The following is a 23,847-nucleotide window of genomic DNA, read 5'->3' as shown; positions in this document are numbered from 1 at the left end:
ATATTGGAACATCTGGACATTCTACTGTCATAGGAATTTGTCCTTCCAGGTATTATTAAGCTATTTCCTCAGCTGTAGACATCTTAAGATGGAGCTGATTTTTTTGTTTTTTAATCTAGTTTAAGTTCCAGAATACAAGCGCACAACGTGTAGTTGTGCCATGGTGTAGTGTGCCATGGTGGTTTGCTGCACCTATTAACCCATCATCTAGGTTTTAAGCCCGGTATGTATTAGATATTTGTCCTAATGCTCCCCCTCCCCTCACTCCCCCACCCCCCGACTGGCCCTGGTGTGTGTTGTTCCCCTCCCTGTGTCTATGTGTTCTCATTGTAAGATGGAGTTGATTTTAAAATGCTGTCACCCTGGCTCTCCTACACTCCTGTTTCCCTAACTCTAGGATGATGTTGCCTCTATTTTATAAGATTGGACATCTGAAACTGCCATTTTTGAAGGTTAAAAACAGTAAGATATTAGCAATTTGGTATAATTCAACCAGTTGGAACTAAGCAAATGGAGACAAGTGCTTGGCTTAAATGTCTAATAAAAGCAATCACAAAAGCCAGGTGCAGAGGTACATGCCTGTAATCACAGCACTTTAAGAGGCAGAGGTGGGAGGATCACTTGAGCCTAGGAGTTTGAGACCAGCCTGGGCAGCATAGTTAGACCCCTTCTCTACAAAAACTAAAAATTAGCCAGTAGTGTCATGCGCCTGTAGTCTCAGCTACTCAGGAGGCTGAGGTGGGAGGATCACTTGAGCCTCGAAGCTGTAGTGAGCCCTGATCGCACCATTGCATTCCAGCCTGGGCAATACAGCAAGACCCTGTCTCCAAAAGACAAACAAACAACAACAACAACAACAACAACAACAACACACGATCACAAAAGACTATAAGAACCACAACCTTCCACAATGGCCATTGCAGTCTTACACAAAAAAATACTGGGATTATTGCCCTTGTTATTCATCTTTGCAGCAAAGGATACTTATTTTAAAACAATTATGCCATCGTCATTTTTGTCCTTTAAAAATCTTTGTTTTATTTTACCTCCCTGAATACACACATAATTTACTATGGCATGCATATTCCTATTGCAAAATTCAATTTCCAAATAAATATTTTTAAAGAGCCTCTTTCTGTTTGTTATTTAGGTTAACATAAAAAATCTAGAGATGATTTAAAGTAAACCAAAGGATGTGTGTTAAGTTACATGCAAATACTACACCGTTTTATATAAGGGACTGGAGCATGGTCTGATTTTGGTAGCTGAGGGGGTTCTGAAACCAATCCCCCACAGATACTGAGGGATGACTGTACTTTAAAATATCATGTTGTACACAGTAAAAATATACAATTTTATTTGTCAATTAAAAAATAAGCTCCTTGAGGGCAAGAACTGGATTTTATAATTTATTTTTTATGTCTCAGTAAATCCAGTAGACCTCAGCACAGATGTTCAATAAACCTTCCTTAATTATAAACTAAAAGCAAGAAAAAAAGAATGACCACTTTCAGCAAGGCTGGAAAATATGGCTTCCTACTCATGTTAAACTGAGTAATTGCTGTTAAATCAGAACTAGAAATATGATTGGATATACACTGTTAAGTCTTTTTTGAAAACGACTTTTCTGACTTTTGGGGTGCCCAGTGGTCCTTGACTTACCTCTCTTCTTACCCTGCATACCTTCTCTGGATGAGCTCATTCTTTTGCCACCAATTCAACCGATTTCAGTTCTCTCTACTGAGTCCTCACTGGGTTGGTTTTTGTCTTTTCGGTTTTTTTTTTATAGGGAGTCTTACTTTCTCGCCCAGCTTGTACTGCAGGGGCGTGATCACGGCTCACTGCAACCTCCGCCTTCCAGGTTCAAGCGATTCTCCCGCCTCAGCCTCCTGAATAGCTGGGACTACAGGAACAGGCCACCACGCCCGACTAATTTTGTATTTTTAGTGGAAACAGGGTTTCACCATGTTGGCCACGCTGGTCTTGAACTCCTGACCTCAGGTGATCCGCCCGCCTCAGCCTCTCAAAGTGCTGGGATTACAGGCGTGAGCCACTGCGCCCAGCCCTCAATGGCTTTTTCAACTGTCTAGTGGGTATTTCCAGCTGGATGGTTCATAGCAACAAAAGACAAGTCAACCCATTTTCCCCAAACTTTGTCTTCCTTCTCCGCTCTTTATGGAACTAGAAACCAAAGCATTGCTCATTCATTCATTCAACAAGTGTTCTCTGAATACCTACTCTATACTAACCAGGATGTACAAAAGGAAAACCAAAAGCGCAAAAATCCTCGATCTCGTGGAATTTACATTCTAGGAATCTACAGACAAATAAATAAAAAAGTCCTGTTAGATGACAATACATGTTATTAAAAAAAAGACAAGAAGTGTGTGTGTGTGTGTGTGTGTGTGTGTGTGTGTGTGTGTGTGTGTGTGTGTGTGTTGGACAGGGCATCATTCTAGACTTTTCTTCCTCCTCCCTTCCCTTTGATCTGATTAGCAATTGCTTTACCACCTACCTCCTTAGTATTTCACCTTTTCTTACTCATATTCTTCAAACTCATGGTGCTACTTTAATTTACACAGACACAAGAGGTTTCTTTCTCTACCCCTACTACCCCAATTCATTCGCCTCACTTTGGCCAGAGAAACCTATTGAAAATAAAATCTGATCATGTTAGCGGCTGCAATTGTTCAGCACCCAGGCTTGTCAAGCAAGGTACTCTCGAGCGCCCCCGTGGGTGAAGAAAATAACAACATCTATAGCCTGAGAAATAGCAGAAGCTGCCTCTAAAAACAAAATTTATTTTCGAAGGCATATATTTCAAACTTTGAAATCCATGTGAATTTTGCAATTGTTCCATAATATAGCCCTGATAGTTTTAATATATTTTTAATGTTTTAACTAACTTGCCAGCCAAATTATTCTTTTAGCACCACCCCCAACTCCAAAGACCCCCTTCCAAACAGGTGCTGACTTGAGACCGTGACTATAGAGCACTTGTCTCTAAAATGTACAAAATGAAGAGAAATCTCAAGATGTCCCACTGAGATGAAGAAAGAAAGAAGAAAATATGTATGTTTGTATACATGTATACATGTATATATATGTATACACAAAATTAGAAAAGTTAGGGTCTACTGTATAAATTAAATAAGCGTTGACAGTGCTTTTGATTTTAATCTGTATGTGGTACTTTGCCTGCTTAACACCCTTATGTGGATTTCCTGACGGACTTGACATTCCTGTCAGGAAAGCATTGCGTACTTGCTGATTAAAAAGCATCTAAGGGCCGGGAGCGGTGGCTCACGCCTGCAATCCCAGCACGAGGCAGGAGGATCACCTGACGTCAGGAGTTCAAGACCACCCTGGTCAACATGGCGAAACCCCGTCTTTACTAAAAATAGAAAAATTAGCCGGGCATGGTGGCGCGCGCCTGTAATCCCAGCTACTCGGGAGGCTGAGTCAGGAGAATCGCTTGAACCCGGGAGGTGGAGGTTACAGTGAGCCGAGATCCGTCTCAAAAATAAAAAATAAATAATGAAAAAAATTAAAAATTTAAAAATTAAAAAACATTTAAAAAAGCATCTAACTTAGATGGGTAATGGGTCAAAAGAAAGGCAGACTGCCACATGCAGCGCCTCATTTGGATGTGTCTGGAGTCTTGGAAGCTTGACTACCCTACGTTCTCCTACAAATGGACCTTGAGAGCTTGTTTGGAGGTTCTAGCAGGGGAGCGCAGCTACTCGTATACCCTTGACCGAAGACCGGTCCTCCTCTATCGGGGATGGTCGTCCTCTTCGACCGAGCGCGCAGCTTCGGGAGGGACGCACATGGAGCGGTGAGGGAGGAAGGGGACACCCGCCTAGCCAGCCAGATCAGCCGAATCAACCCTGGCGATCAATGGGGTGACAGATGTCGCAGCCAGATCGCCCTCACATCCGAGGTACCCAAGCGGCGCACAAGCTATATAAACCTGAAGGAAGTCTCAACTTTACACTTAGGTCAAGTTGCTTATCGTACTAGAGCTTCAGCAGGAAATTTAACTAAAATCTAATTTAACCAGCATAGCAAATATCATTTATTCCCAAAATGCTAAAGTTTGAGATAAACGGACTTGATTTCCGGCTGTTTTGACACTATCCAGAATGCCTTGCAGATGGGTGGGGCATGCTAAATACTGCAGTCTCCATTGGTGAGGTCGTCCCGGAGCCTCGCCCAGCTCCCGCGCGCTAGAGCCGCCTGCTGGTCTCACCCAGCCGGGACCGCTGACCTGGCGCTTTGTGCGGCTCCAGGCCTCCGAGTGGACTCCAGGTCTGTCTCCCTCCTGCGGTCGCCCCCTTCCTCGCCCTTTCTCTCTTCTTTTTTTTCCCTCCCCTTTACTCTCTGAGTCTCACTCTCGCATTCTTCCCTCACTCCCCCAGTTCAGTCCTTCTCTTGTCTTTTCTTCCTCTTGTCCTTTGTCCTCCTGCTCCATCCAGTCTGGGCAGAGGTGGGCCCCTTGGCTGGAGCTGGGGTCCTTCTTGGCTCAGTGTGCGTATTTTTTTTTAAACCCCTTCTGCGGAGTCTGAATGCATTGGTGGAAGGTGGGCTCGGATCGTCCCCGGGCCTGGCTGGGCTGCCGCTACGCCCCTGCATGGGCTGAGCGGGGAAGACGAGCATGGGAGAGTGCGATCTCAGATGGCCAAGCCCTGGCCCCCGGCTCGTTTTACAAGGCCGGGGGCTCATCTCCCTGTAGGGGTGGTGGACACGCGGGACCCGGGGGGCGCAGCCACCGCATGCGTGACGGTGGACGCACATTTTGCAGACAGTAGTAGTACTCGGCCTGTTCACCTTCCAGTTGCCGTGATAATAAAATATGATGATGTATGTAAAAGCATGAATACTTGAAGAGCTTCCAGTGGCTGTGCGATTTTCCTTCGCTACCCTCTTCAACGCCTGCCACCCCCTATCCCCCAGCTGAATTTGGAAAATCTGAGATTCTCGAGGTCAAAATATATAATATTCTGAATTTGTGAAATCCCGTACTGCTAGCACATATGTTTTTACAACAAATGGCCCCAGCTTCCCAAGATCCAGGATAAGAAGTCATAAATAGAAATCATATAAAAGCCAAGGTTTTTTTCTCCATGTTTTAAAATGGTGGTTTTTTTTTCTTGAGTGAGGGAAAATGCAGCAACAAAAATAAAGAACAGTTTCCCGTGCCAAAATCCTGAATATTCATTTCGCCCCTGAGCACTGGGTTGAAGACGCGAAATTGGGACTGTTGGTCTGCGACGAGCTGCTGCATTTGTATTTCAGAAAGCCTGAAAAGCTATCATGGCAGCAAGGCCCAAGCTCCACTATCCCAACGGAAGAGGCCGGATGGAGTCCGTGAGATGGGTTTTAGCTGCCGCCGGAGTCGAGGTACCTTATATGCTGTTTCTTCACGGATTTGTCATACAGCTTTTGAGACCTTTGAAAGAAAAATACGTTTTGAAGCACCGTTCAGTTCTAGTTCTCGTCCACCAAAATCACAGGCACGCTTCACTGAGTCAGATACCATCCCTGAAGGGATTTTTCTTTATAATTAGAACGTAGTTGATGGAATTCTATTTTCCTTTTGACTTTTACTTAATTATTGGCTTCTGATCTAGCACCAGTGAATATTTATTAATAAGAAGAAAGGAAATTTACCTGAAAATTGTCAGTTACTCTGAGCTCTTATTAATTATGCATTCTCAGGGTAAATTTCTTGTTTTCTTCAGTGGCTTCAAACTGGCAGCCTTGGTATCTTGCTTACATATGTGTGTGTGTCTGTTTTTGTTTTCGTTCTGTTCTTTTAGCTTCTTAGTATGGAAATTTTCAAATACCAATAAATGTAGAGAGAACATTGCCATGAATTCTATGTACTCATCACCCGACTTCAGCAATCATCAGCTCTATGCTAATCTTGTTTCATCTATCACCTCCCTTCCCTTGTTTTGTGGGAGTATTTTAAAGCAAAATCCAAACATCATAACATTTCATCTGGGAGTTCCTCAACATTTTCCTCTAACAGATGAGGATTTTAAAATGTAACAATATTATTATCACATCCAACAAAATTAGCAATTCTTTGTCATCTAACCTTCAGTCTGATTGTCTCAAACAGGCATTTTGTTTGTTTGTTTGTTTTTATAGTTTGTTTTAGTTTGGATCTAGACATTGGTCTACGCATTACATTTAAAATGGTTATGTTTCTTTCGGTATTTTAAAAACCTGTAAGTTTCCTCTTCATTTTTTACAAATTTATATTTGGGAATATTTTCAGATTTATAGAAAAGTTGTAAAATAATACAGTCCCTCATTCAGTCTCCCTTAATGATAACATCTTACATCACCATGTCATATTACGAAATTAACATTGGTGCATGACTAACTAAACTACAGACTTTATTCAGATTTCACTGTTTTTTCTACTAATGTTCTGGGTTTTTTTTTGACGGAGGCTGGCTCTGTAGCCCAGGCTGGAGTGCAGTGGTGTGATCTCGGCTCACTGCAACCTCCGCCTCCCAGGATCAAGCAATTCCCCTGCCTCAGCCTACCTAGTAGCTGGGACTACAGGTGCACACCACCACGACCAGCTAATTTTTGTATTTTTTTAGTAGAGACAGGGTTTCTCCATGTTGGCCAGGCTGATCTTGAGCTCCAGACCTCAAGTGATGCACCCACCTGGGCCTCTCAAAGTACTGGGATTACAGGTGTGAACCACCACGCCCGGCCCTTTGCTAATGTCCTTTTACTATCCCGCGATCCAACATTATATTTATTCATCCTGTTTCCATAGTTGCCAACAATCCATGACAATTTCCCAGTCGTTTCCTTCATTTTACCATCTTGACGGTTTTGAAAAGCACTGGTCAGATATTTTTGTAGAATCCTCTACAAATTGGGTTTATCTTGTTTTTTTCATGATTAGACTGAGGTTATGGGTTTGGGGAAAGAATGCCACAGAGGTGAAGTATGTTCACGTCATCATATTAGGGGTTACGTATCAACATGAGTTGTCACTGGCAGTATTAACCTGGATCACATGGTTAAGGTAGTCTCTGCCAGGTTGCTGCATTTTAAAGTTACTATGTTTCCTTGTATTCTTCTGAAGCAGATCATGAAGTCCAGCCCACATTCAAAATGATGAGAATTAAGCTCTACCTCCTGGGTGAGGGAGTATCTACATTTGGAATTTTTATATAAGGAAGATTTATCTCCACTCATTTCTTCAGTTATTCAATTCTTTGTGTCACTATAGACCTAAGTATATTGATTTTATATTTTAGATTATAGTCTGATGACTTAAATTGCCTAAATTGTTTCAGCTTTAGCCACTGGTGCTCTTTCAGGTTTACCTTTTTTTATTTCAGATTGGCCTCTTTTTTGTTCTCAGCACTTTCTGACAGTATAAAATGCTCTGTGCTCATCTTGTATTAATATTTTCCCTTCCCTAGCCCTAGAATCAGGAATTTCTTCAATAGAAAAATGGTATTAACCAGCCGGCACGGTGGCTCACACCTGTAATCCCAGTACTTTGGGAGGCCGAGGTGGGCAAATCATGAGGTCAGGAGTTCGAGACCAGCCTGACCAACATGGTGAAACCCCGTCTCTCCCAAAAATACAAAAATTAGCTGGGTGTGGTGGCATGTGCCTGTCGTCCCAGCTACTCAGGAGGCTGAAGCAGGAGAATCGCTTGAACTGGGAGGCGGGGGTTGCAGTGAGCCGAGATTGCCCCACTGCATTCCAGCCTGGACAACAGAACGAGACTCCATCTCAAAAAAAAAAAAAAAAAAAGGTATTAATAGCCAAGATCTGGGTGCTAGATGTCTACGTTTGTTTCTAGTGCCATTTATTTTTGGAAGAAACTGCCCTGTAGAATTTTCCCTATTCTGGATTTGGTTTACTTACCCTCCAGGTGTTGCCTTGAGGTAACATGGTAAAGTGAGGATACCTTTATTTTAACATGCTCCTCTATTCTCTGTACTTCCCATAAATTACTAGCTGGACCCAGAGGCATGATCACTTCAGGCTCCTTTTTTCTTTCTCTTTAACTTTTTTTTTCCCTGCCAGACTATGTCAGAAGAGATACTGTGAACACACTTCTATTGTATCACATCAGGGGTTGTCTCGTTTTCAGTGATGCCGACCTTCATCGGTGTGTTCCTGTGATATCAACCCCAATCCACACATTATAGTTTCTCCCATATTCTTTTCAACTTGTGGTTTTACTAGCTATTGATCATCATCATTGTTAGGGATTACAAAATGGCAATTCTTTCAATTTCCATCATTTCACCTATGTTTATGAACTGTGATTCTCTTCTAAGAGAGTACTTGTCACTCATTAACTATTTAATTACTTTAAAATATGCTTCATATAGGAAAGGCGAGGTAAATGCTTGATTATAAATTTTCACAATAATGCGTTGTTGCCCTAGCAACCTCCAAAGATGCAAATGTGAGTTGTTGGGTTATGCGTTTTGTGTTTGTTCTTTGTTTTTATTTTTTGCCTATGACAACTTGCCACATGGTGTTTTACAATTTTCTAAATGAGTTGACATCATTTTCATATGCAAATTCTGATTTCTGACTTGTCTTTAGAAATTGGAAGATGTGGTGATCCTGAGCTCATTTTCACAGGGCAGCAATTGTTGGATCTGAATAAGGACTGCCCCACCTCGCCCTCTTGTTTCAGGGTGTGTTTGCTAACTGTTAAGAGGAAAGTGAAAAACATTCATGGTCCCCTGAACCTGCTCAACTTCACTTGTGTCTGTCATTTTTCTAACCCCCATAGGCTTCTGAGTTTGTAATTCTTGATTTATTTCATAGGTTTTGAATGGATGTCTTATATATGTATGCAATATAACCCTTTGTCAAATCTTCTCTCTTCATTCTACCCTGCCCCTCCTACTCACCTATGAGTCAACATTTTTAGTTACAGTAATAAAAACTCAACCCTAAATAAGTTAAACAAAAAAAGAACATGAGTCATCTGACCCACCTACCCCAGTCCAATCACAGGAACAGGCTGATCAGGTAGAGTAATGAGCCCACTCCTCAGACCAGACTGGATGAAGCTAGATTGGTCTCTCTCCCAGGGTGACCACATGGTTTACAAGGTGGTGGGGAGGGGCCCTCCCCGTCTCTTTGCCAGCTAAGTTTGTGCTCACATAGATCTGAGACAGTCGGGAGGGACCAGCTGGCAGCCACCAGACAAGTCCATGATTCTCAATATCCCACGATTGGGTTGAACCTAAAGTTGAAGCACACACATCTGAGTAACTAGGTCACTAAAACCTACTGAAAAACAGCCTTTTCTAATTCAGGGAGTTCTCAATGCTGGTCAGTCACTTAATTTGAGTCATCATTGACATTGCTCTATGTTGGTTGTTTCTTCCATGCTTGGAACTTTACTTGCCCGAAGACCCCTTAAAACCCAGGCAAATCCCCTTTGAGACGTGGAGGATTTACACCATTTCTACCATTAACTGGGAGCATCAGTTGAGCACCTTGTCCCTGCATATATCATATAAACTTTCTGAGCTAAATGTGGTGGCTTGAGCCTATAATCTCAGCTTCTTGGGAGGCTGAGGGTGGCAGGATCCCTTGAGCCCAGGAGGTTGAGGCTGCAGTGAACTGTGATTGAGCCACTGCACTCCAGCCTGTGTGACAGACCTCTAAGAAAAAATAAATAAATAACCCTTTCTGTTAACTAATATGATGTTTTGACTTTTGATTTTAGTATGTTGTAGTACAAATATCCAGGGACAAATTCCTCAACTGAATCTATCTGAGAGACAAATTGTCAATTGATCCAGGAGTACTGCCTGCACTACATCTGACCATCTAGGCTTCGAGCATTGTTGCCCCAAGGATACTGTTCATGAGCATTAGATGGAGATCCTCTGGGAGCATTGAGGCTCCTTTCCTCACACCATGAGCACCCACTCTGGCAAGTAGCAGAAGCCAAGCCTATGATCCTGATTCTGCCCCACCCCTCCAAGTTGAATGTTTTTCAACTAAATTCACCAATTGTTAACATTTTGCTACATTTGCTTTCTCCCTTCCTTTTTTTTCTGAATTGTTTCAAAGTAGTTGCAGACATCAGCATGTGTCTTCCTCCCAATGTTACAGGAAAGGGGTCCTGATCCAGACCCCAACCGAGGGTTCTTGGATCTTGCAGAAGAAAGAATTTCAGGCGAGTCTGCAGTGCAAAGCAAAAGCAAGTTTATTAGGAAAGTAAAGGAATAAAAGAATGGCTACTCTATAGAGCAGTCCCAAGGGCTGCTGGTTGCCCATTTTTATAGTTATTTCTTGATAATATGCTAAACAATGGGGTAAATTATTCATGCCTCCCCTTTCTAGATCATATAGGGTAACTTCCTGACATTGCCATAGCCTTTGTAAACTGTCATGGTGCTGTTTGGGAGTGTGGCAATGAGGACGACCAGAGGTCACTCTCATCACCATCTTGGTTTTGGTGGGATTTAGCTGGCTTCTTTAATGCAACCTGTTTTATCAGCAAGGTCTTTATGACCTGTATCTTTTGCTGACCTCCTGTCTCATCCAGTGGCTTACAATGCCTTAACTGTCTGGGAATACAGCCCCCCAGTAGGTCTCAGCCTCATTTTACCCAGCTCCTGTTCAAGATGGAGTTGCTCTGGTTCACACGCCTCTGACACCAAGGCAAAATAAATAATTGTCCTAATAACCACAATACCATTGTCACCACCAAGAAAATTAACACTGCCTTCACAACATCTAATATGCAATCCATATTCAAATTTTCCGTTTTCCCCCAAATGTCTATATAATGGTTACACGTCTGTTTAGCAGTTATAACAGTTTCCTCTCCTCTGAAATCTACTTCCAATTTGGTTGTTAAGTCTCTAGTTGATTTTCATCAACAGGACCTGACTTTTTTTTCATGCCTTCGACTCTTGAGAAGTCCAGGCCATTATGTTCGTAAGGTCCCACATCCTGAATATACCTGATTTTCACCTTGTGTGTAGATTCAGGGTAAATATTTTTGGTGTTGTTTTAGCAGGTGTGACTGTGCCCTTCTCACTTTGTTAACAACAGAAGCCTCAGGATGTCAGAGTGTTCTCCACTGGGGAGCCAAGTTTGATTGTTTGGTTAGACAGAGGGTGAGAGATCTCCCGATCTCTCCATTATAAATCGACACTTTCCCTTTATCATAATTAAGTAACTTAATTAAGTCTTCTGTAAAAAAGAGCTTTTCCTTCCTCCTACCTTTTTTTTTTTTTAGCATCATCATTTATGGACATAGAGATTTTATTGTTGGGTGTTATAATCCATAATTGACATCATTCTTTTTGATGCTTAAATTTTCCCAGATTTGGTAGGGATTCCCCTTACAGGGCCCTCCATGCCTTTCTCTTTCACATTTGAGCACTTCCTTGCTTTCTGGCATAACAAAATCAACCTTCTCTTATAGGACCCCTAGTTCCTTTTAGGGGGCAGTGATATTTAGAAACCAAGATGTGGATGCTAAGTCTGCTCTTTCTCTCTGCTTCTTAAGACTGTTTAACTTGGCATTTTTTGTCCTGAGCCTGTATGATATTTACCTCCTTTTGGAGGGTGAGGATATCTTTTTAAAAAATTGATGCATAATGTACATATTTGGGGAATACATTTGATATTTTGATACATGTGTATCATGTGTAGTGATCAAATCAGGGTAATTAGGATATCCATCACCCACCTCAAACATTTATCTTTCCTTTATGGCGGAACATTCCAATTCTCTTCTAGCCATTTTGAACTGTGTAATACGTTATTGTTAACTATAGCCTACTGTACTATCGAACACTAGATTTTATTTCTTCTGTCTAGCTGTATTTATGTACCATTAACCAACCTCTTTTCACATCCCATTCCTCTCTACACTTCCCAGCCTCTAGTAAGCACCAATCAACTTTCTATTTCCATGAGATCCACTTTTTTAGCTCCCACATATGAATCAGAACATGCAGTCTTTGTCTTTCTGTGCCTGGCTTATTTCACTTAACGTAATGACCTCTGTTTCTGTTGGTGTTGCTGAAAATGACAGGATTTTGTTTTCTTAATGGCTGAATAATATTCCACTATGTATATATACGTTTCTTTTTTAAAAATTTAGTTTGATGAAGAATTTCTGGAAACAAAAGAACAGTTGTACAAGTTGCAGGATGGTGAGTATGAAAATGAAACAACTGCCTCTAATACTGATTTTCCTTTAAGAGCTGCTGTTTATGTGGAAGGGCAAAAGTATTCAATGACACTGAACATTCAGAACAGTATCCTAAAACCAAAAAAAGCAAGAGGGAATAAATAGTTGAAATTGCCAGGAAATCACTTCTTATTCAATAGTTCCATAAAAGCTGGCCGAAGGGGGTGAGCAGTTCCTTCCACATCCCGGTGAACAGCTCCTCTCCATCCCTTTCTTCTCCCCTCTCCCCTCCAATCTCTTCCTCCCCCTTTCTTTCTCTCCCTTGCCCCTTCCCTCCTTCTCATCTTTCCCTACTTCCTTCACACTATCTGAGGCATCCTGGCCTGCTTGAAGTATGCAAATAAATATCCCCATTTACATGGGGTACTTTCTGAAGTAAATACTACACAGAAGTGAAATCAACGAACTGCCCCCTCCCTTCACCTTTAATTCCTGGTCAGCCCTGCTCCCTCCTTGCCCATCCATTATAGCAGGAGCCACCAGCAGACCCATAAAGAATGCGCCCATCAACCCTGTGAGCAGCCTCCCTCCCAGCCAACAGCAGGGTCCTCAGGCCCAGCTGGAGGCTCCCCTGTGTGGTACCGGCTCTCCAGGGCTGTAAGGCCACCTTTTGTGTGTGACGGTGGCTGGAAGCCACTAGGCATGTGCTAAGTACTCCTCTTGCCTCTCCCCTCACCTGCTCCGAATGCTCAAACCCTCAAGGCCAAGCTGTACCCTATACCGGCATCTCTCCCCAGGGTTTGGTATGTGGAAAGTGTTGGATTCAGGTTTGTTAAATAAAACAATGGGTTGTTTTTTTAACTAGTGACAGCAAACTTGGTAGTAAACGGTCTGTTCTGTGGCTACAGAGTAGCCATAGAGTATACATGAGCCAAAGAGTATACATGAGTCTCAGCTAGTTACTTAGGTTTCATGATCAGATTCTCTAAAAACAGTGCTGTCCAGCAGAACATTCTACAGTGAAGGAATCGTTCTATTCTGCATTGTCCAATATGGTAGCCACTAGGCAAATGTGACTGTTGAGCACATGAAATATGTCTAGTGCAACTTAGGGACTGAATTTTAAGTTTTAAAAATTGTAATTAATTTAAATTTAGATTTACATAGCTGCGTGTAGCTGGTGACTGCTGTATTGGCCAGTGTAGCACTGAAGAAATATCTTCACTACATTCCCCTCAATCCCTTATCACTGTGGATAGGTATTTTTCCTGGGGTGAAAATGAAAAGGGAACGTTTATAACAATGCTAGTTTTCAGCCTTCTTTTTTTTTTCGAGGTAGAGTCTTGCTCTGTTGCCCAGGCGTGCAATGGCGCGATCTTGGCTCATTGCAACCTCCGCCTCCCGGGTTCAAGCAATTCTCCTGTCTCAGCCTCCCAAGTAGCTGGGACAACAGGCATCTGCTACCACACCCGGCTAATTTTTGTATATCTAGTAGAGGCGGGGTTTCACTATGTTGGCCAGGCTGGTCTTGAACTCCTGACCTCATGATCCGCCTGCCTTGGCCTCCCAAAGTGCTGGGATTACAGGCTTGAGCCACCACGCCTGGCCCCTTCAGGCTTCTTTTGTGGCTAAATCTGCTCTCCTGAATGAAGTTAAGGTTATCTGTCATCTGGAAGCTTTACACTATTTCCTAAGGCCATGATTCCACCGTTTCTTTTCATTCCACAGAGCATTTTTTAGGGGTTGGGGGACAGAGAAGAAAAGATCACTTCTAACTCTGGGCTTCCATTCTCAGGTAACCACCTGCTGTTCCAACAAGTGCCCATGGTTGAAATTGACGGGATGAAGTTGGTACAGACCCGAAGCATTCTCCACTACATAGCAGACAAGCACAATCTCTTTGGCAAGAACCTCAAGGAGAGAACCCTGTACTGTGGCCCCTCTCGAGTGTTGTCACTTGTCAGCTTACTGATGCCTTAGCTGATTAGCAACCTCTGTAGCACACCACATTTACTTTATGTCTTACATAGTTAGTGAGATCAGGGAACAAAAACCCAAGAAGGTCACGAAGACCAGTTGGAACTTCAGTAGAGAGAGTCTGAGTAAAACAAAAGAATAGGATTCAGATATTGAATATTATATCTAGGGTGTCATTGTTTCAGATTTCAACATTTTTAAATGCTTTGATACTGCTTTTTCCCTTTCTTGCACATTCACTATTGTTAAGTATTAGGAATGAGGAGCTGCTGTGACATTCAAGGCCTGGGAGAGTGAGCATTAGATTATAATTTGAAATCAAAGCCTGGTCCTTGCACCCCTTAGATGTATGACCCTGGGCAACGTGGGTATAAGAATAGTACATTTCTCATAGTGTCATGTGATTTAATGAGATAATGGATAGAGAGTGTTTAGCACCATGCCTGGTACACTCTAAGCACTCAATAAGTGGTATTCACTATTTTTATAAAGTTGAAGTTTGACCCATACGAAGAGACCAAAACATGGATGCTGGGGTAAAAGTGGAGGAGTAGGATGCCAGGAGAGAGAGCACTCATGACTGTCAAGCTGTCTGATCTGTGACAGATTTTTCTGAGTTACAACTAGAATTGACCTTATATCTTTGCTCTTAAGAGACAGGTATAGGTAAATGCTTCTAGGGACTTAAGTTGCAGCATCTTTAAAAAAAAAAAAAAAAGCACTCTGAATTCTTAGTTGTGGAAACTGATGGCTTCAAAGAGAGGAGAAACTGAGACAACTGCTTTTTTGTTTTAAGGATTGACATGTACGTGGAGGGGACACTGGATCTGCTGGAACTGCTTATCATGCATCCTTTCTTAAAACCAGATGATCAGCAAAAGGAAGTGGTTAACATGGCCCAGAAGGCTATAATTAGATACTTTCCTGTGTTTGAAAAGGTAGGTGGCAGAGATGCCTACATACACAGAGCAACCAAACCACAAACCACAAAGAAGCTGCCACAAACACCCTTTTCTGTCCAAGGATTTTAAAACTGAGCCCAGTTGAACTAACCTAAGCGCTAATGGACTCCTAAGAGCGAATAGTAGCCACAGCACAAAGCTGGTGTCTTAGAGCCCCTTGGACTCTGCTAGGACCACATGATTCAGAAGTCTAGAAAAAGTATGGGCTCCCTGCCTTTGTTCCTTATTGTTCCTTGCATTCACCAAGTTCCCACCTTGTGTGGATACAGCAGAAACTTCAGAAGATACAGAAAACAAAAACTACCTCATTCATTCATTCAACAAAAGTTGTCGAACAGCTGTCTCAGCTGACATCCTCCCTGATAATTCGATATGAGTAGAAGAACCATTTCCATTTTATTTATCTTCCCTTTGCTCTTTTTGTTTTTGGTTTTGTTGTTTTTCTCTTCTTGTTATATCTGCTTTTCTGAGCTTCAAATTCTTTATTCCTGAACTGGGAGGAACTTTTTTAGTGTTTCAATGCAAACACTAAAGAAGAGGGTGTGAAAATATGGGAAGACCTATTTGGCAAGCTTCCTCTGACCATCTTTATGGAACTAGATTTAGGAAAAAGGAGAGGTATTTTCTGGGGTTTCTGTAGCTAGGTTTTATGGTATCTTTCCCACAGGCACTTTGTGAATGTAAAATAGGATAATGAAGAAATGTGGTCTGGAACGGGCACAGAGGACCTGGTGCTTTGGCAAAGGTTCACTGCTCATTCTTAGGTCCCAAGGGCCCAGACTGTGTCAGGGTTTCTTGCAACACGCCTATGAGGTGAGAACCGTTGTCCCTTTTACACATAATGAAATGAAGTCATGAAGAGATTCAGTGACCTGTCCAAGGTAACATGGCCAGAAAATGGAGAGCAGGGTTGGAACTCTGGCCTCTGACTACAAATTCAGGATGCATTGTACTATGCCACTCTGGCTCCAGTAGCTATATTTGACCTGGAATTGTGTTCGGAGTCCCTGTGACACACACACTTGTGCACATGCAGACACCCATGGGCATCCAAGAGTTGACTGTGAAGGGGATCTCCCCTTTGCTACTACTGCTTCTTGCCTCTCCCTAATCACAATCTATTCTTATAAGCCCCACACCTATACGTTACCCTCAGAATGGGAGTCAAGATGAACTCAAGCTTTTCATTTTCTCTGTTTTGGGACATGTAAGAGGAAGTCTAATTTTATAATTGGGTTGAGTTTATGACTACACCTCTTGATGTTCTAGCAGCAGAACTGGGAAATAAGAGTGGGCCCCTTGAAGATGATCTATCACTTAGATTTCTTAAATCACCCTGCCCCTCCCCAAGCCTCCTGCATGCATTTCTGTAGATACATTTTTGGAGTAGATATATCCTTTCAAAACACCAGATGCTAAATCCAGAAATAAGGAATTTTCCCTTCCCCACTTCAATGTCTCATTCAGATCCACAGCAGATATTTAAGGATGCTTTCATTTCCACACCTTTTTTGTACTTTCTCTCTCTCTCTCTCGCTCTCTCTCTCTCTCTCTCCCCCTCTCTCTCACTCTCTCTGTCAGATATAGGGTGCGTTCTCTTAATTGATGTTATTTATGAAAGCATGAAATGACAAGGTCATAGTTTCACCTCTTCTCAGATACTGCACTGATTCAATAGCCTCATCACTCTCTCCATGTGGAATATTGTAACTGATGCACACCATTTCCCTACAGATTTTAAGGGGTCACGGACAAAGCTTTCTTGTTGGTAATCAGCTGAGCCTTGCAGATGTGATTTTACTCCAAACCATTTTAGCTCTAGAAGAGAAAATTCCTAATATCCTGTCTGCATTTCCTTTCCTCCAGGTAAATAAAACTATGTATTAGAAGATTGGCCTAGAACTCTTGGGCCTTCCTTCAGTGTCTATTGTTTGGTTGGCTTTGGGGAGTGTGTGTGTGTGTGTATGTGTAATATTTTTAAGATTCTAGTTTGGCAAATGAAATGAAAGTAAGGACCCAAAGTTATTTTTCTGGTCCTTAAATCCTTCAAGTTGAAAGATCATTGAAGTGTAAAATTTTTTTTTTTTAAGGTGGGATCTTACTATGTTGCCCAGAATGGTCTTGAACTCCTGGGCTCAAGAGATCCTCCCACCTCAGTCTCCTGAGTAGCAGGGACTATAGGCATGTGCCAGCACACCCAGCTCAGAAATTTTCATCTTAATTTTGTTCCATAACTGCACTCCTGGAAAAAACTCCATGCACAGGGAGTTTGCCTCAGGGGACTTTCCATAGAAATAACCATAGAGATGAGGTGGTCTCACACTCACATGTATCTACTGATGGAATAGTGGGCGAGATAAACATCAAAACAGTCTCATTCATCAGGCTATGACTCCCTTTCTCAGAAATAGTATGGTCTCAAGTTAGGAAATTCTAAGCCTGAGCTCTGAGAGCAAATGAGAGATGTTAGCACCCTAAACATCACCCCAAAGGATTCCTACCATTCTCCTTCTGAGAATTCCAAGGAAAGACTTGTGTGGTTCAAATTATCCCTCAGGGTTATTCTGGCAGGATTGATCATAGAACTTTAAAGGAGAGAAGGGCCTTTAAAAAAAAACTCATTTAATGACTTCAATATTCACTTGAGGAAGTAGAGACCCAGAATAAAGAAATCAGCAGCCAAGCTGGCTTAGGCAGTGGATGCTTGAGTTTTATCTAGAACCTTAGCCTTTTATCTCCAAGTCTAATGTGCAGACTGTAACTCCTGGGCCAAACCTGGCCTGCCACCTGTTTTTATACAGCTTGTGAGTTAAGAATAATTTTTACATTTTTAAATGGTTGAAAAAAATCTGTGGAATAATATTTCATGACACATAAAAATTATATGAAATTCAAATTCTAGTATTCATAAATTTCATTGGTACAAAGCCATGCCCACTCATTTACACAATGTCAAGGTTACTTTTGTTTTTCTACAGCAGAGTTGAGTAGATCTGATAGAGACCATATGGCCTGCAGAACTTAAAATATTTGCTGACTGGTCCTTTATGGAAAAAGCTTGCCAATCCCTGAAACAGCCTGGATACAGACCAAATTGCTATATGTTTGACCAAGTTATCAAAAGCCAAGAGAGATACACTAACTCTCCAAAGAGTAACACACATACTTAAAACAATTTTTTGCCAAGTCTATTAAATATTTTGATATACTAATGAGAGCAATTACCACCAGTTCAATAAGTACACCCAGAAAATGAGAATAAAAATCTTCAACAAGGCAATAAACCACCATATCATTTATGTTATAGTTTATATTTTTTTTTCAATTTTTTTTTCATTTACTTTTGCAGACACAGAGATTGACTTTCCTTAATTTGATTTTATTCATTCAGAACTTAGGATACTTTTCACCTGAAGTATTCTTTTGCACTGTTAAAAAAGTTACTTGTTTAGCAGAGAAGGGAAATTAGAGGAAGGGATCTGCAACTTGTTGAGTGCCAGCTTCATTCCAGTCAGTCTGCTAGGCACTTACATGCATTTGCTCATCTGTCCCGTCAACCCCACCCCAATAACCCTAGGAGATGGGCTTCACTATCTCCATTTTACAGATGAAAATTACCAGCTTGGAAACATTACATTCTGCATAGTTGCAAGACTGTGGATGACTGAGTTGGGAGCCACAGGGGAGTCAGGGATCTAAGTCTGTACTCTTTCCACTAGACTGTGTGGTTTCTGAGAAACACATTTAGAAGTACTAGAAGTACCTTTGGCCCCAAATAGGTGGGATGCTGAACCCAGAAGTAGGTAGAATGCTAAGCTTATTAAAGGTGAAATCTAGGCCGGGCGCAGTGGCTCACACCTGTAATCCCAGCACTTTGGGTGGCTGAAGTGGGTGGATCACTTAAGGTCAGGAGTTCAAGACCAGTCTGGCCAACATGGTGAAACCCCATCTCTACTAAAAATAAAACAATTAGCTGAGCATGGTGGCATGTGCCTGTAATCCCAGCTACTCGGAGGCTGAGGCAGGAGAATCACTTGAACTGGGGAGGTGGAGGTTGCAGTGAGCCGAGATCATGCCACTGCACTGCAGCCTGGGTGACAGAGCAAAACTGTGTCTCAAAAAAAAAAACAAAGTGAAATCTTTCCAGGCATGCATATATATACATGCTTGTGTACACATAGACACACACCTCACAGGCAGTAAAGTACTTTTCATTGAATGGACACAAAAGATTTTAAAAGTCTAGGGTAAATGATAGAGATCAAGGTTTTTTGGTAAACTGTAGCACCAGGACCTATTGGTATTTTACATTGATGATACTATAATAACAACCCTTTTTTAAGCCCCAAGCATTATCTGCGTAAATACAGTTTTAATCTGTGATCAGATTGAGCATCAATATTTTAAAACTTCAGAATCGGACACCAGATCTGTGTTGAATTTAAAGGGTTATTCCTGTGTTGATTAATGGATTTAAAAAGTCACAAAAATTTTACTATACTTTGATAACTATGAACCCCAGATAAATCTTGAAACAATACATCATTTGGAACAAGATTCTAAATTTTGGTATAATATTTAAAATCATACAAGTAGAGCTTAAGTACGTAATGAAAAGAGAAAATTGTCATATTTATATATAATTAATTGGCATCATTATTAGGGTTTTTGTTACTATTAGTGACGTATGTATGTTTGTGTGTGTGCTTAATTAAGGCTGTGCCTTGCACATAATAGGCAATTAATAAATAGTAGCTATTTAAAATGACCTCTTCACTTTTAAATAAATGGTTTTATTTAAATATCTTTAAAAGGTTTTATTAGAATAATTATATATGATGAGCATATGCTTCTTCATATAGTTCAGATTTTTCATTAGATCAAATGGGCTTTTCTTCTCAGTTACTGAGAATTGGTAAGATTTGATTCTGTGAATGAAAAATACAATGTTTTTCTTCCATTCCAGTTTATATAAATATCTGGTATCTGAGCCAGAGGCTATGAAAAAAATGCAACTGGCTATTTCCTGCACATAGCCAGAAAGAGGATTCACTTACTGATAGGAGTAAAAACTCTGAAGAAGCTGAATCTTAAGATATAAATTGTACCATCTAGTGACTTTTTAAAGCACCTTTACTTAAGTGGCTCATGCATTTTCTCCCAGCAGATCAGTGCACTTCAGGTGGCTAGTCCGAGTGGTGTTTACAGCTAATTGATCACAACCAGTTACAGATTTCTTTGTTCCTTCCCCACTCCCACTGCTTCAAATTGACTACTGTTAAAAAACAATACAAAACAATACACTGGAGGTGTTTTCAGTGAGTTTTCCCCTTCCTTTTTTTTCACCTTAAGTGTCATAATTCTATTTTGAGTATGTTTTTACTTTTGCCATTTCTGTAAAGAGTGCTTACCTTTTTGTGAACCTGGAGATTTGTGTAAACTCTGATCTTGATACCGGTGATTGATGACAGAGATTGTAAATAATCATAGAGATCAGATCTTAACCTAGCCTTGTCCAACCCACAGCCCGCGGGCTGCATGTGGCTCAGGACAACTTTGAATGTGGCCTAACATAAATTCATAAACTTTCTTATAACATTATGAGATATTTTGAGGTTTTTTTTTCAGCTCATTAGCTACCTTTAGTGTTAGTGTATTTTATGTGTGGCCCAGTGAAGCCAAAAGATTGGACACCCCTGCTAAACAAATGCTAAATTTCATTTCTGCTTGGAACTCTTCAACAAGTATTTATTGAACAAATTTTGGTGGGCCATTTTGCATAACCATATCTTCGTAGTATCTAATACCTTTTTTGTTAGCCTTAAAGTTTTGGTTTTCCTTTTTCAGGAATACACAGTGAAACTAAGTAATATCCCTACAATTAAGAGATTCCTTGAACCTGGCAGCAAGAAGAAGCCTCCCCCTGATGAAATTTATGTGAGAACCGTCTACAACATCTTTAGGCCATAAAACAACACATCCATGTGTGAGTGACAGTGTGTTCCTAGAGATGGTATTGTCTACAGTCATGTCTTAATGGATCCCAGCTCTGTCATGGTGCTATCTATGTATTAAGTTGGGTCCTAAGTTGGGTCTTTTGTGTCAACGAGATCATCTCTTCTAGAAATATCAACCTTTTTTGTCCAGTAAATAATTGTTAGGGGATCTTTATTGGAAAACTTTTTTGGAGAGGCTGGTATTTAAGTTAGATCTGATTGGGCTACTCATGTCCTGTAGCCAGTTCATCCTCATAATAAGAATGGGCAGGATCTCTTGTTCTCTCCTGAGTGTCTTTCTACTCTCCTGAGCGTCTTTCTGCTCTCCTTATCCTGTTCTCTTATCCTTATCCCCTCCAGTCTCTGCCTAATTTTTAGTGTTTAATAACAACCGAATGTCTAGTAAATGACTCTCCTCTGAGCTGTAATAAATAAAATGGTAGTAATGAATGCAATCAGTATTAGCCAAAATAAAGAATTTATGAGTCATTGCTCATTGTCTTGTTGTGAGAATTTTTTAATTAGTTTTTTTCAAATATAGAATACATTTGCACGGTTCAAAAATCAAAAAAGTATAAAAGGGTCTACAGTCTTGGAAGTCTTTTCAACCCTGCTTCCCCGCAACCGAATCCTGCTTCTCACAGGCAAATGCAGTTACTATTTGTGTACCCTTCCAGTTACATCTGACACATGTATAAGAAAATGCAAATATATATTATTTTTATCTTCTTACTACCCAAAATGGTTATTTGTAGGCTTCTAATTTTTTGCATTTCAGAACTAAAAGTATGGTCTGTTAATATAATGCTGCTGTTAAACTGGTGTTGATTCACGTCTCAAATACTCATCAAGCATCAACTGGGCTCAGGGTCTCCCAGCACTTTAGGAGGCCAAGGTGGGTAGATCACCTGAGGTCAGGAGTTGTAGATCACCTGAGGTCAGGAGTTTGAGACCAGCCTGGCCAAAATGGTGAAACCTCATCTCTACTAAAACTGCAAAAAGTAGCTCGGCGTGGTGGCGCACCCCTGTAATCCCAGCTACTTGGGAGCCTGAGGTGGGAGAATTGCTTGAACCTGGGAGGCGGAGGCTGCAGTGAGCTGAGATCATGCCACTGCACTCCAGCCTGGGCGACAGATTGAGACCTTATCTCAAAAAAAAAAAAAAAATACTAATCAAGCACCTATTACATGCCAGGCAGACTGCCAGGAGGCAGAATCGTAGAGCAAAGCCCCTGCTTTAGAAGAATTCAGCATAGGGTAGGGGGAGACACACATGTAAACAGCAGAAGTAATTTTAAAAAGGAAAGAATTGCCGCTTTTGGAGTATCTACTACTCAGAAATTTTAAAACTAAGGAAAGGCAAGTTTTTGATGAGAGTCTCACTCATTTATCTCGCTACAGAAGGGATTTTTTGCTCAGTGGAAACAAAAGAAGAAAAGACAAGTGGGAGGTGATCATTGTCTGATGCAATCAATACTGTTTTCGTCAGAGGAAAATCAAGCGCAAACATCAAGGCAGTGATTTGCCTTCATATTTACATAATGTGAGCACTCTGTTATCACCCTGATATTTAAAATTCCTGCAAGAGCAAAAGCCTGGTGGCAGGGGCAGCCCCGAGGCAGGCCTGAGGAACAGTGCTGACCTAGGCTGCTGTTCTGAGAAAGAGGCCCAGCCCTGGCCAGGCCCCTGAGTGCAGTAGCCAATAATAAAAAAAGAAAATGGGAAGTGTGTAGTAAAGACTTTCACCCTGCCCCAACAGAGGTGTGGCCTTTGCTTCTGGAAGGCAGTCTCTAAGTCCTTTGAATGCTAGACCTGACAGGAGTGTCTTTGTTTGCCTGGGGGTCTTGGGCCACCCAGCTAGTAACAATGTGATTTAGGGTGAGAGCTTTGAGCCACACCAGCAATGTGATACTGGGTGAGAGCTCTGGTTCACGTGGTATCAGCTCAACTCTGGAGGGAGTGAAAACAGATCACCTGTTGGGCAGTCAGCCAGGCCTACCTGATGGACCCCCCAGTAAAAAACCTAGGCTCCAAGGCTTGGGTAAACTTCTCCAGTTGACAATACACCATGGGTATTGTCCTTCGAATGAATCATGAATCATCCAACCTAAGGGTGGTTCCCCTCAAACTTCCCTCTAAACTCTTCAGGGAAGATAAACATTTTACACACATTTAGAGACTATACATGAGAACAAACAGTTGACTTGACAATCCTCAGGGGTCTGTATTACAGGTGGAGCAGCCCAAATCTGAAATCCGAAATGCTCAGAAATTCAAAATGCTTTAAAATCCGAAACTGAGTGCCGACATGGAGCTCAAAGGAAATCTTCATTGGAGTATTTTGGATTTGGGATTTTTTGGTTTGGGATACTCAGCCAGTAAATATAATGCAAATATTCCAAAGTCCAAAAATGTTCTGAAGTCAGAAACACTTCTGGTCCCAAGCATTTCGGATAAGGGATACTCAACCTGTACTGAGTTTTGTGGGATGGCAGCAAATTTGGGCTAGTTTATATTACTGTGTTGCTATTTTTACTACCCAGTGCCACTGCCTGATACTTTTAATCAAGGGCTGGCTATATAGACCTTAAACCATTTTGCAAGTACTTGCTGCTTGGGTTTTAATTCTCTTAGACACAAGAGGGCCCCTGAATCTGGTTCTTTGAGGAAAAAACCAGGGAGGAAGTTTGGCTTCTGCATTGAATTAAAGGATTAGAGAAATAAAAACAAGA

General features: G+C 41.4%; 1 protein-coding gene and 1 non-coding gene across 5 annotated transcripts, besides 8 other annotated features; one reads left to right on the top strand and one right to left on the bottom strand.

Moving 5' to 3' along the window:
• Nucleotides 3,609–3,940, bottom strand: RN7SK (RNA component of 7SK nuclear ribonucleoprotein). The gene has a single exon (NR_001445.2). It is a non-coding gene; the product is annotated as an RNA component of 7SK nuclear ribonucleoprotein (small nuclear RNA).
• Nucleotides 3,703–3,792: a silencer, noted in NCBI's record as "silent region_17287". NCBI's record gives its function as "represses an Ori minimal core promoter by ATAC-STARR-seq in GM12878 lymphoblastoid cells {active_cell/tissue: GM12878}" and the evidence as "EXISTENCE:reporter gene assay evidence [ECO:0000049][PMID:35858748]".
• Nucleotides 3,953–4,172: an enhancer, noted in NCBI's record as "active region_24693". NCBI's record gives its function as "activates an Ori minimal core promoter by ATAC-STARR-seq in GM12878 lymphoblastoid cells {active_cell/tissue: GM12878}" and the evidence as "EXISTENCE:reporter gene assay evidence [ECO:0000049][PMID:35858748]".
• Nucleotides 4,124–4,355: a silencer, noted in NCBI's record as "fragment chr6:52860003-52860234 (GRCh37/hg19 assembly coordinates)". NCBI's record gives its function as "represses an EF-1alpha promoter that drives an FKBP-Casp9 reporter gene in an ReSE screen in K562 erythroleukemia cells {active_cell/tissue: K562}" and the evidence as "EXISTENCE:reporter gene assay evidence [ECO:0000049][PMID:32094911]".
• Nucleotides 4,276–21,607, top strand: GSTA4 (glutathione S-transferase alpha 4). Of its 4 annotated transcripts, none has more exons than NM_001512.4 (7): nucleotides 4,276–4,311; nucleotides 5,299–5,403; nucleotides 12,152–12,203; nucleotides 13,977–14,109; nucleotides 14,955–15,096; nucleotides 16,855–16,986; nucleotides 20,968–21,607. In NM_001512.4, exons 2-7 carry the CDS (start codon nucleotides 5,317–5,319, stop codon nucleotides 21,088–21,090), a joined length of 669 nt encoding a protein of 222 aa, NP_001503.1. In that variant the 5' UTR covers nucleotides 4,276–4,311; nucleotides 5,299–5,316; the 3' UTR covers nucleotides 21,091–21,607. The 4 variants fall into 4 exon arrangements, with proteins under 4 accessions (NP_001503.1, XP_005249092.1, XP_011512836.1 ...); XM_005249035.5 differs by having other exon boundaries at nucleotides 5,159–5,403; XM_011514534.4 differs by lacking the exon at nucleotides 12,152–12,203.
• Nucleotides 12,714–12,883: an enhancer, noted in NCBI's record as "experimental_92160 CRE fragment used in MPRA reporter constructs". NCBI's record gives its function as "activates a minimal promoter by MPRAs in K562 erythroleukemia cells, with activity observed for the non-introgressed 6:52851560 variant allele {active_cell/tissue: K562}" and the evidence as "EXISTENCE:reporter gene assay evidence [ECO:0000049][PMID:34662402]".
• Nucleotides 21,608–22,481: an enhancer, noted in NCBI's record as "H3K27ac hESC enhancer chr6:52841877-52842750 (GRCh37/hg19 assembly coordinates)". NCBI's record gives its function as "activates a minimal SCP1, AML or CMV promoter by ChIP-STARR-seq in primed H9 embryonic stem cells {active_cell/tissue: H9 hESC(primed)}" and the evidence as "EXISTENCE:reporter gene assay evidence [ECO:0000049][PMID:30033119]".
• Nucleotides 22,482–23,357: an enhancer, noted in NCBI's record as "H3K27ac hESC enhancer chr6:52841001-52841876 (GRCh37/hg19 assembly coordinates)". NCBI's record gives its function as "activates a minimal SCP1, AML or CMV promoter by ChIP-STARR-seq in primed H9 embryonic stem cells {active_cell/tissue: H9 hESC(primed)}" and the evidence as "EXISTENCE:reporter gene assay evidence [ECO:0000049][PMID:30033119]".
• Nucleotides 22,809–22,918: an enhancer, noted in NCBI's record as "active region_24692". NCBI's record gives its function as "activates an Ori minimal core promoter by ATAC-STARR-seq in GM12878 lymphoblastoid cells {active_cell/tissue: GM12878}" and the evidence as "EXISTENCE:reporter gene assay evidence [ECO:0000049][PMID:35858748]".
• Nucleotides 23,029–23,088: an enhancer, noted in NCBI's record as "active region_24691". NCBI's record gives its function as "activates an Ori minimal core promoter by ATAC-STARR-seq in GM12878 lymphoblastoid cells {active_cell/tissue: GM12878}" and the evidence as "EXISTENCE:reporter gene assay evidence [ECO:0000049][PMID:35858748]".

The sequence above is a fragment of the Homo sapiens genome, chromosome 6 (genome assembly GCF_000001405.40).
Source record: "Homo sapiens chromosome 6, GRCh38.p14 Primary Assembly".
NCBI classification, from domain to species: domain Eukaryota; kingdom Metazoa; phylum Chordata; class Mammalia; order Primates; family Hominidae; genus Homo; species Homo sapiens.
Note: the sequence above shows the minus strand (reverse complement) of the source record. Positions and strands in the feature narration are given on the sequence as shown.